Raw genomic sequence first — 11,446 nt, forward strand, 5'->3', positions numbered from 1 at the left:
GAATTTTCTGAGTGTCTGCAGACTCTGCAGCCCCACTCAGGTAAATGCACTCTCTGTGGATGTGTTTTCCTTCATCTCCTTTACCAAATCAAGGCCATCTAATATTAACTTTACTACAATCTCTCCATCTAAATCCATCCTATCCTTCTCTGCCTTCCTACCTCAGAATTTCCCCCTCTTCTGTAGCAGGCTGGCCCCTTCATCTATGCCATTGATCCATCTCTACTTACTTTGGTGAGACCATACTATGGCAATTACTCCTGTCCCTCCACCCTCCCTTACTCATTCCTACCCCATTTGTCCATAGACATTCTAAAGTTACCATCTCTTCCCCAAAAATGTTCAAGAATCTGTCTCCCATCCTAATATATTCTTGTGCTATACCAGCATCCTTCCTTCTACCATCAAAATGATCAAAAGTGGTCCACAGCATCTTCCATTCTCTCCTAATCCGCTGCATTGTAGCTTCAACTGTTTCTACTCCACTATGTTGAAATAATATTCTTTTTTCTTTTGTTTATTTATATTATTTTTAATTGACAAATCACAGTTGTATTACATTTATGGAGTATGATGTGATGTTTTGATATGGATATACAATGTGGAGCAATTAAATCAAGCTAATATAGACATCACCTCTTGACCTTTTTTCTTTTTTTTTTTTGAGACGGAGTCTCACTCTGTCACCTAGGCTGGAGTGCAGTGGCGTGATCTTGGCTCACTGCAAGCTCCACCTCCCGGGTTCACGACATTCTCCTGCCTTAGCCTCCTGAGTAGCTGGGACTACAGGCGCCTGCCGCCACGCCCAGCTAATTTTTTGTATTTTTAGTAGAGACAGGGTTTCACCATGTTAGCCAGGATGGTCTCAATCTCCTGACCTCGTGATCTGCCCACCTTGGCCTCCCAAAGTGCTGGGATTACAGGCATGAGCCACTGCACCCAGGCTTGACATTATTTTGTGGTGATACATTTGAAATTTACTCTGTAAGTTATTTTGACATATTATTATTTTCTATAGTCACCCTGAAGTGCCATAAATCTCAACACTTATTTCTCTGGTCTAGCTGAAACAATATTCTTAAAGGTTGCTCCGAGGCTAGCTTCACAGATGTGCAAAACAGACCCTGTGCTCAGAAAAGTCCCACCCTTTGAGACTAACATCTTGTGATTGTCATCTTCAAATTATTTAAAATGTTATCTTTGAATTTGCATTTTGTAGGTAAAGTCCAATGGGACAATGGAGCAAACACAGAAAACTTGGAACCCCAGCTCGTGCGTGGTCACACCTTCTGCTACCTCCCATTCTCTCCACAATCCACTGCATTCAACACTGTTGATGACTGTTGCCTACAAGATGATGTCCCGCTTCCCAAGCCTGACATTCAAAGCACTCTAACCCTGAACAGTTTTTCCAGTTTTTATTTCTCTTGATAGCCACCAGGCATCCTACTTTCTATCCACATAGACCCCAAGGGCCCATGCCGCAGTGTTTGGCACACTGTGGACGCTCAGTGAACTGGGTCCTTCCTTCACTCACCACACCATGTATGCTGTCCCCCTTTGACATATTTCGTGCTGTTCCCTCAGTTTGGAATGCCCTAGTTTTATTTTTTTTAATCACTTTTACTTTTAGGTTCAAATTAATGCCATCTCCAAAGTGAAGTTTTTCTCCGAGGTTTTAAACAATTATGTGTGTCCTATTTATAGCATTTTTTTTTCAAATTGCTTTGTGTTATTTTCTCCTGTATATTATGTCTCCTTTTGTTTCTTTTCCTAGAACACAATACTTTAGCTTCTCCCACTCCTATATTCCTACCTATTACACAATCCTGTCCAGAAACCATCCTGTATGGACAAACTCGTATTAGAGACTGAATGTGTGGGTCCTTGCTGGGCTGTAAACTTTTTGAAGGCAAACTATGCCTTACTCATCTTAGGTTTCTTCTGGAACCTAGAACAGTGCCTTTTGACAGTAAGTACCTACTGAATTATGCAAATCCCATCTGATTCTCTATTTAATAAATTGGAGAAGGCACAGGTATATCAATTTAGGAGCCCACCTCAGGGAAATGTATTTGTCCTTAACTCAACAAACTAGCTTCCAGATCACTAGATGTGATAGTTTAAAGTAGCACTGTCTGCTTGTCATTATGAACAAATATGGAAAATTTTTAAATTGATAAACCCTGGGGCTATTTGCTAATGAAAACAGTTTAAACTGGTGTCTTGAAATATATCTTGCTCCCACTTTTGAAAAGGAAACTGCATCTGTCTGCTGTTACAAAACACTTGCATACGTAAACACATAGAAGATGGAACACTCTTGTTCCTAAGTATAACTCTCATCTGGGCTCCTGCCTCCATATCATCTGTATCCTTTAGAATCTGTTTTAGTTATGTCACCTCACATCTCTTAAATCAACAATATCTCCATCTCTGTGGTCTCTGTCCAGTTACATCCAAAAATTACTTCTCAACTTTGATCATCCTTGGAACTACACTTCTAACTCAACTTTCTTTTCCCTGAGTGAGTGAATAAATGCTCAAAAACCAAAGGATATTCATGAAGGAACAGAACTAGTAAGTGGTAGAGCTGGGATGGAAACTCAAACCTGAAGTCAAGACCCACAACATAAAGTCTTCCCCACCTTTTAACTGCAACTCAATTACATCAGTCTCAAATGATCCATATACCAAAAGATCACAATATTCCTGTCAGTGAGTCTGGTATTGGCTAACAGAGTACCATCCATTACCTAGCTGTTGATCAGAAGGCATATGGAATTGTATCTTTCCCAAGCTGAATTATTTTAAGTAATAGCGTTAAAAAAGATTTTCCTAGGAATTTCCCTTGGATTATAGTTAGATCTATGGCAGGCAGTGGAAAATCTTGGCCCTGGAAGGCTCCTGAGCTCTTTTCTCATGGCTATGCCTCCTTGACCTGGGTGAGCTGTTTTCCATCTATGGGAAGTAGCTAACTGCATAGATTTCTGTGCCATGGAGATCGTTCACTCCTGAGTATTATTTTGTCAATATGTTGCTGTAAAGGAAGATTATGAGCTCAAACTCAAGCTCTTCTCTTAATCTCCCAGCATTTTCAATTCCATCAGCTTTCATCCTGAGCCTTAAAAAAGATTTCTAAAATCATACAAAAACAACTAAAAGCCTGCTATGGTTTCATGGTCTCCATGGAAATGCTAGGAATGGATGCTGTGTTGACTTCCTCACATATCTCTTGGACTATTTTGTTAATGCCTTTTATGTATGGTACTTGGCAGTTTACAAAGCCCTTTCTCACGTATTATCTCAGTTAATCCCCACAACAAACCCACGTGGATATTATTACCCATGTTTAACATATCATGAAACCTAAATTTGTAGAAGATAAGTGGTTTAACCAAGGTTTACAAGCGGTAAATTCACTTACAGTTTGCAAGTGGTAAACTCAACTTTTAAATTTTGGTTTGCCTGAAGCCATGGCTGCTATTCTTGCCACTATAACCAAAACAGTGTAGCCTAGAGCAGATCACTTTGATGCCCTAGTGCCCTTGCTTGTCCCTTGAAAATTCACCTCATGGGCACTTTACATTGTTGATATACAGCCTAAAAGAAAGCATCCCAGACAAGGAATTAACAAACTTTAGTTCTGTTTCTAAATCAAGTCACCTTGACCTATTCATGTAATCAACTGCTTCTTCCACAGGTAAATGGAAATAATAATCCTTGCCCACTTTCTCCCTTCTGTCATCCCCTCTACTAATACTACCTTAGATGAAATACATTAAGCTTCATAGAGCTGGGAATATTATAAAACTTTGCAAATGCATGGCTTACCACAAATTCGGTCTTGTGATTACCGGTAATGTGAAGTCCTTTGGTATGATTTTCTTCCTTTTAACCTTACCCCTCGATAACTTTACCCAACAAATGGCATTAGTTCCCCACCCCTATCTGTTGGCACTTACTGCTAGGTACACACTGCTGCTCCTACTCAAAGTGCCTGTGATTTAGAAAAAGGGCTTTCTTTGGCCTCAGAGTACATGCAGCTTGAGTACAAGGAAGACAAAGTGGGGTGTAAGGGTTGGTGGACCACCTCTTGTACTCTACAATGAATCCCAGAGGTCCTCTGAGTATTGAGTTCCAACTTCCCAAGACAGTAATCTGCTCATTAATGCACACTGATTTGGCTTCCTTGCCTTTTCTTTTTTGTTTGTTTGTTTTTTTGGGTTTTTTTTTTTTTTAGACGGAGTCTCACTCTGATGCCCAGGCTGGAGTGCAGTGGCGCTATCTTGGCTCACTGCAACCTCCTCCTCCCGGGTTCAAGCGATTCCTCTGCCTCAGCCTCCTGAGTAGCTGGGACTACAGGCTGCACACCACCACACCCGGCTAATTTTTTGTATTTTAGTAGAGACGGGGTTTCACTGTGTTGGTCAAGATGGTCTCGATCTCCTGACCTCGTGATCTGCCCACCTCGGCCTCCCTAAGTGCTGGGATTACAGGCGTAATCCCTGTAGAATATAGAAAATATCTCACTTTTGGCTCTTCTAGCTGTACATCTAGAGATTGCCTCCTAAATAGACTACTATACACAAGTCCTAGTCTCAGCATCCACTTCTAGAAAAACCCCAAATTGTGAGACAATCTAGGGTAAGTAGTAGCTTCACCAGGTAGTTTGTGTAAGGGAACTGAGTGACAATTCCCCCCACTCTGTCTTTCTTTTCCTCAGATAGTGTGTTATACGGCCCATCTTGCCTCCTTTACTGAAAGCTCTGAAAATTTCACCTTGCCCAACTCAAAAATTATCTTATATATCCTGTAACTTTCTTCCGTCCTACTTTTCCTCCATTTCAAAATTTTCAGATTATCTTAGGAAAATCTCCAAGTTCTTCATTTTATTTTTGAGCCTCCAATATTTTCTAACTCATGTCTGAAAATGCAAGAGCACCTAGAGACAGAAAGTCCTATTTTCTAAGTGTTATTGAACATAATGAAAATAACCACTTCAAACTTCCAAAGCATTGAAAAGTGTCCCTAAGGTCCCCTCTCAGAATCACTATAAATGTCTTCTTTTTCCTCCTTAACTTCATATAAACCCAATTTTCTTTAAGTAGCACCTTTCAGGATGTAATGGACTGAATGTGTCGTTCCAAAATATGTTGAAGGCCTAACCCCCAATGTGGCTGTATTTTAAGTAAAGAAGTAATTAAGATTAAACGAAATCATAAGGGTTGGGCCCTGATCTGATAAGATTGGTTTCCTTACAAGAAGAGACACCAGATCTCTTGTGGTCTCTCTCTCTCTCCCTCTTTTCACCCTGTGAGGACAAAGCAAGAAGGCAGCTATATGCAAGCCAAGAAAAGAGCCCTCAACAGAATTCAAACCTGCAGACCTTAATCTGAGACTTCTCATCTCCAGATCTATGAGAAAATAAATTTCTGTGGCTTAAGACACCCCATTTATGGTATTTTGTTTTGGCAACTGCGCAGACTAAGACACAGGATAAATGTAAATTGATTTCTCTTATAATCGTCTAATTTTTCTTCCTTTTTTGTTTGCTAGTGGGGTATCAGGATGTTTTAAAACTAGTTTTCACTATAAAGAGTATTGCAGTAATATCAAATACGTAATAGTTCTCTCTGGATTATAATTAAACAAAGTAGCATGAATACCATCATTTCCAAAACAATTTTAAATCTTAGAGGATGACAACACCCTCACAACCTTTTTCTTCCCCTTTGTAATAGTGACAGATACTGCAAAATTGGACAGGAGCAAGAAGCTTGTACTCTAAATATGCGAGCTATCCACAGGATGACTTAACCTTAAACTACAGAGTTTCACTGTGCTCTGGTGTAAAAAGCATCAAGAAGTGATCAAACACTATTTTTGTGTATTAGTTTTTCATGACGATATACAATATACGTTCTGTACCAACACTGAGTTTATTTGTTCAATGTAAACAAAAAAGAGAATTTATTTGCTCACATAATTTCCTAGTCTATGGTTAAGATGCTGCTATGGTAGAACTGAGTGGCTCAAAAAAAGAAAACACAGCCTCTCCATTACTTGGTTCTACGTTCCACTGTGCTGGCCTCTTTCTCAGACAGCCTCCCCCAAGTGATGATAAAAATATTTATCAGCAGCAATGGGTTTTTATTATCCGCACAACTAGAATTCCAACGAATGGGAATGTTCTTTCTGAATAAATCTAGTAAAGGTCATTGGCTTTGCTGAGGTCACATGTCTATCCCTGATCCAATCACCTTCCTTCAGAAGAACAAAGTACTTTTATTGGTCAGACCTGGGACTGTACCTATTTCTGAGGCTGAGGTTAAAGTCAGCCTTGCCTAAACACATGGACCAAGAATGGGAGATGCAGTTCTTTGTGGAGAAACTAGACTGTGGGGAAAAACAGCTCAGAAATTCACTCCCCTTTCATTTCACGTCCCATCCTCAATTATATCCAATAATATTATTCAACATAGCATATCAAAGTCCAAAAACATTAAAATCCAAAATCAAATTCTCTAAGTTAAAGTTTAGAGAAAGTAAAGCCTTCTTTGATTCCTTGGTCTGTTCATTTTCAGCTTTAGGAGTTTTTCCAGTAACACCTGTGATCTGAGATATCTCTCGCTAGAATGGAGGTACTTATCCCAGGAAAAATGTTATTCCCATAATACAGTATTTATTGTGATTTAATGATATCCAAAATAGGAAGGGAAGATGGATGGCTCTCAACAGGGTGCCAGGAAGTTTATGCAATTGTCCGTAATCCATGGTCTATGAACCTAAACACAGTTAGGAGACTTCTCCCCACGGAAAATCAATTTAGGCACTATACGCTGACTATATCTAAGGTAGGGGAATGTCCTACATAAACTGTCTCCTTTCTTATAAATTTGAGACAACACTGCCTTCTGGCAAAGTTATAAATTTGCAACAAGTACAACCCAAGCACCAGCTTTTACCTGAGATTTCTTTCTTTTTTATCCTGTGGATCCCAAGAGATTTCCATTTCCCCACTGAGCTCTGTGTTCCCAGCACTTAATGTGCTGCACTGATGGTACCTAGTAACACAACCTCCACAATATTTTGGGGACAGGCAATCTCTTTTTCAGTGTCATATTTCAGTGGCTGCCACCACTGCCTTATTGAGGACGTGCTTATGCCTAAGACACTCGCCTCTAAAGGAAGCTGCTACTCTTTCTCACCTTGATTTCAGCTGCAAGATCTCCTTTTCCAGACTGCCAAACTGAAGGTGCTTTTGATGCTTCTCAGTGGTGCGCCCCTAGGGGCCCAGGAAGAGCAGTGCCACTGCCGCATGTTCCTCAGGACACCAGCATTCCTGGCTCTCTCCTCTGCCTTTGGGTTCTGTAAAGTTCTTGGACATGATCCCTCAGGATACTGACAATGCCTGCTTGCTTACCTTCTACATTACCTTGAAACTCAGAAACTCCAATATTTTCACTTTTGAACACACGAATTCAAGATTCATTGTCCTCTTCCCGCTTCTTACCAATATCCAGCTTTTAAAGTATTCACATCTCCTCCACAAAGCCCTTGTGCTTTCGGGAAACTTAGTCCTGCTTGTAACTTTGGAAATAATTCAGTTTGGTTTAAGCCAAGCTGCAGAATCCATTCCCCCAGCAAAAATTACTGGTATGTGACCTAGGCTAGACCAGTGAGGATGAATCCCAGAACTTTTGCTTGCAAATGCTCGATAAAAGCACTCTTGCTCCCCCTACTGGTTATGAAACAAGAAGCATGCGCTGGCAGCCATCCTACAACTCCAAGAAGAGTGTGTGATAGAACTTGGATGGAAAAATAATTGTTGTCTTTATCAAAGTATTACCTTGGAAGAGACTAAATTTACTTCAAAGAAAAACTGACCAAACTAATTGAGGGACTCCCCTTTGAGAATACAGTGCCAACTCTAGAGCATATTCCTTTCTATATGTTTATATTCACTGGTGGAAAATCCCTGTCCTGTGAGGGTGGGTTTTATTTTTTAAACATCCTAGAAGTTACTCAAAACCAAAAGTAAATAAGTACGTGATCAATTTTAGTAATGGCATTTCCAGGGTTTTTAAAAAGCAGAACTTTTTACTTGTGAGTAGTTTCCTTATTGCTAAAACACTGGTCCTGAAGTCAGTATCTCTTTTTGAGCAAATAAAACCACTTCCGTTCAATGTGGGAAGAAAGTGTTTTCACTTCTTAATTACATCTTAGTGAACTCTGGATTTTCTTTGACATTTAAAAATAGTTAAATTCTATTGAATCTCAAAATAGCTAATCCTTTTTAAAAAAGTTTTAGCACCTGTACATTTCTTTTTAAGGGCTAAAACTCCAAGTTTATTTTGTCAAATTGCCAAGGCAACCAAGAACATTGCCATATTAACACCTGCGTGTGACATCGTTGAGTGAAGACATTGCAAAGAGGATGTTTAAAAGTTGAATGTGTGTTCTGCATAGTCTGGCGCTCTCAGACAGCCAAACAGGATAGAGGCCAGATGGTTCCGTATCTGTGTGGCCTCCCACATATCTTACATGCATTTGGAGTTCCTATTTTATAGAATTAACTGTTGCCAATTCCTTGTAACTCTCACAACCCCCTTATTATCCATTCCAACAAAGGACATAGATATAATAAAGTTTGGCAAGAAACATTTAATCCATTTCAGCTCTCCCAAGTAGTACTATTCCTCTATCAATCTAAAGACATCAAATTTTGTCCTATTTTTAAAAATACCTCCAGTGAAGGAGTTTTCGCCAGTAACTTATCTCAGAATCAAGGATTCTAAGAGTCTGGTTTTTGTTATAACAAATAATCACACAATTATTTTTAAGACCACGGGAAGAAAGATATTGTACTGATCTTCTCAATATCCCTTTTGCAGAAAGATTAGTCCTTGTGAAGCTTACTTTTATAAAAAGTAAACTGTAGGACAGTAAACTGACAGGACATAAGAAAATCAGATTCTCTGATAACCTGACAAGCTTTTCTAAACATTTACTTATAATATTTTGAGATGAACAAATGATTAAGAGGAATTTTTCTTTGAGTCTTGGCTTTCCTAATTCTAGATAATAATCATTTGAGCTTTATTTATAGCATCTTTCTTCAGAGATGCTCTAAGAACAGCCATCTCATTTGTCTTCAGGAGGCAAATGTGAAATTGTGTTTCATTTTTTACTTTAGAAATGAATTTGTGGCTGGGCGCAGTGGCTCACGCCTGTAATCCCAACACTTTGGGAGGTCGAGGTGGGTGGATCACCTGAGGTCGGGAGTTTGAGACCAGCCTGACCAACGTGGAGAAACCCCATCTCTACTAAAAATAGAAAAATTAGCCTGGTGTGGTGGCGCATGCCTGTAATTCCAGCTACTCAGGAGGCTGAGGCAGGAGAATTGCTTGAACCCAGGAGGTGGAGGTTGCGGTCAGCCGAGATCGCGCCATTCCACTCCAACCTGGGCAACAAGAGCGAAACTCCATCTCAGAAAAAAAAAAAAAGGAAAAAGAAATGAATTTGTAAGGTTTCTAATGGAGAGCCAGGGTTTCTCCTCCTGTAAACAAAGTAATAAAAACAATTTTAAGAAGCTTTGTCATTTTTAAAAATGATTCAATCATCTAAGTCTAGAAAATAAAATGGTTATGGGACCAAACTAAAAAGAAAAAAAAGAAAAATTAGTGAAAAGGAGACCCTCCTTTTAATTTCTTCTGATTAAAAATTTTAAAGTGTGCATTGGATGGAAGGAAACGAGGTATGATATAATCTTAATTGTACATAGTGCCTAGTATATAACACGGGAAGCAGAAAGTTTATCTCCCAAACAAATATGACAATGAGTTATTGAAACCACAAGCCAGTTTATTTATCAATGATGTCAGTACTCAAAGTTGTCCAGTTAAAATCTACTTCCTCTTGAAAAACAAAAATACACTGAAGGAAGATGCAAAGAGCTAAAAGTGGTATCATGATTCCACAGCAGTGATTGTAAGACAGTGAGCCACAGGGAAATGGGAAAACGTGAAAAGAAACAAGTATCAGGACCAAATTAGAGAAGATATGAGTAGGGCCATCACTAGAGGTGAAAATGGAGAAACCTAAGAAAACCAGTGTTGGCATGAATTATGCAAGTGGAAAATACATCTGTAGAGGGACGAGATAGAAGGACCTAGATCTAACTCCAAGTGCTTGATTGGAGAAGAGAGGGAGAAAGAGAATTTATAGAATTAACTGTATAGAAGCCTAAAAAATAAGATTATCAGCCTAGTCATGTAAAGTCTAGAAGTTCCTTTATTTGCTCATCACCTTTCCTTTTTCTATAAGACTATTAAGCAGAAGGTCAGTAACAGAAAATTTACCCTTTCCTCTCCTCTCTTGGTTTAAATTTTATAAGGAATCTGAAGAGGCTATGGATCAGTTGGCATTACAGTGGGAAGAGCTTATTGAAGCAAGGTTGACAATAGGTCTTGTCATTCTGCTCCCTGAAAATGCCCTTCGACAACTGTGTCAGGCAGAAAGCACACACAAAGTGCTCAGGATGGAACTTGTACCCCATGGCACTGATACAACGGCCAGTGATGGGCTGCCCACACCCATGGCAGAGCGTTCCCCGGCGGTGATGGTAATGGAGCTCACAGAATGGACGTCCATCCAGTTCAAAGAAGGAGCCAGTAGAAAAACTGGTGAAGCAGTCCTGGGGTAGAGAGAAGAGAGAGAAAAAGAATGCAAATGTCAAGAGGTAAAATGTCAGCAAAGTAAAATTTTCAGCCTTGAAATTCCTGACAGTTACCTGCCAGCTACAGGAATTTCCCTCAGGTTCTTGACAAATGGAGACTAGATTTCCCGCTTGCAAAACAGACAAGCAAATGGATCTGTATCTCGTTTCTCCTTTAGGATGCGCACATCCATTCCTCATTCAGGACTGTGAACCCTTTCACTAACTGCAGCTCTTCCTCTCAGAGAGGAGAACCCTTGACTTTCCCTAAGTCCGAAAGAAAAGTGATTATACAGACCCCACAAACAAAGCACTCTGGGTGCCAGACAGTGTCCATGGCTGAAAGGTAGTTTTCCAACACTGGGCGATTGCAGCCACCACACTTGGGTGAGAACATGGCTAAGAAATCCTTTCGGCAATATGGCTTCTTGTCCTTCTCATGAAAGCCTGGAGAGATAAAATCAGGAATTCACTGTTGCAGGTTGAGCCCTGAAAGCTACACTGGAGACTGAGAGGAGGCCCTTTCAATCTCAGTGTCCTCATATTCAAAATAGGATGATTACTGTTACCTAATTCAAAGGGTAGTTGTAAGAAATAAATGAGATAATGCAGAGGAAGTGTTTTGGCATTGTGTCTGGTTCATAGTAAACATTTAATAAGTGTTAGGGGCTATTGCTCCTCAGTGCCTTTGTACTAAGTATTCCCTTGGCTTGGATAGTTCTGTCC

At 39.8% G+C, this 11,446-nt stretch overlaps 1 protein-coding gene across 5 annotated transcripts in view, besides 1 other annotated feature; it reads right to left on the reverse strand.

Annotated features, from left to right (window-relative positions):
• Positions 7,572 to 7,866: a silencer, noted in NCBI's record as "tiled region #15251; HepG2 Repressive DNase unmatched - State 12:CtcfO". NCBI's record gives its function as "represses a minimal TATA promoter and a strong SV40 promoter by Sharpr-MPRA in HepG2 cells {active_cell/tissue: HepG2}" and the evidence as "EXISTENCE:reporter gene assay evidence [ECO:0000049][PMID:27701403]".
• Positions 9,847 to 11,446, reverse strand: part of LPXN (leupaxin) — a 52,021-nt gene continuing 50,421 nt past the window's right edge. For all 5 annotated transcript variants that reach the window (XM_047427882.1, NM_001143995.3, NM_001307951.2 and 2 more), the window contains 2 exons: positions 11,019 to 11,167; positions 9,847 to 10,699 (listed from right to left, as the gene is read on the reverse strand). In XM_047427882.1, the coding sequence (XP_047283838.1) occupies positions 10,430 to 10,699; positions 11,019 to 11,167 (419 nt within the window). In that variant the 3' untranslated portion in view covers positions 9,847 to 10,429. The remainder of the gene's footprint in view (positions 10,700 to 11,018; positions 11,168 to 11,446) is intronic.

The sequence above is a fragment of the Homo sapiens genome, chromosome 11 (assembly GCF_000001405.40).
Source record: "Homo sapiens chromosome 11, GRCh38.p14 Primary Assembly".
NCBI lineage: Eukaryota > Metazoa > Chordata > Mammalia > Primates > Hominidae > Homo > Homo sapiens.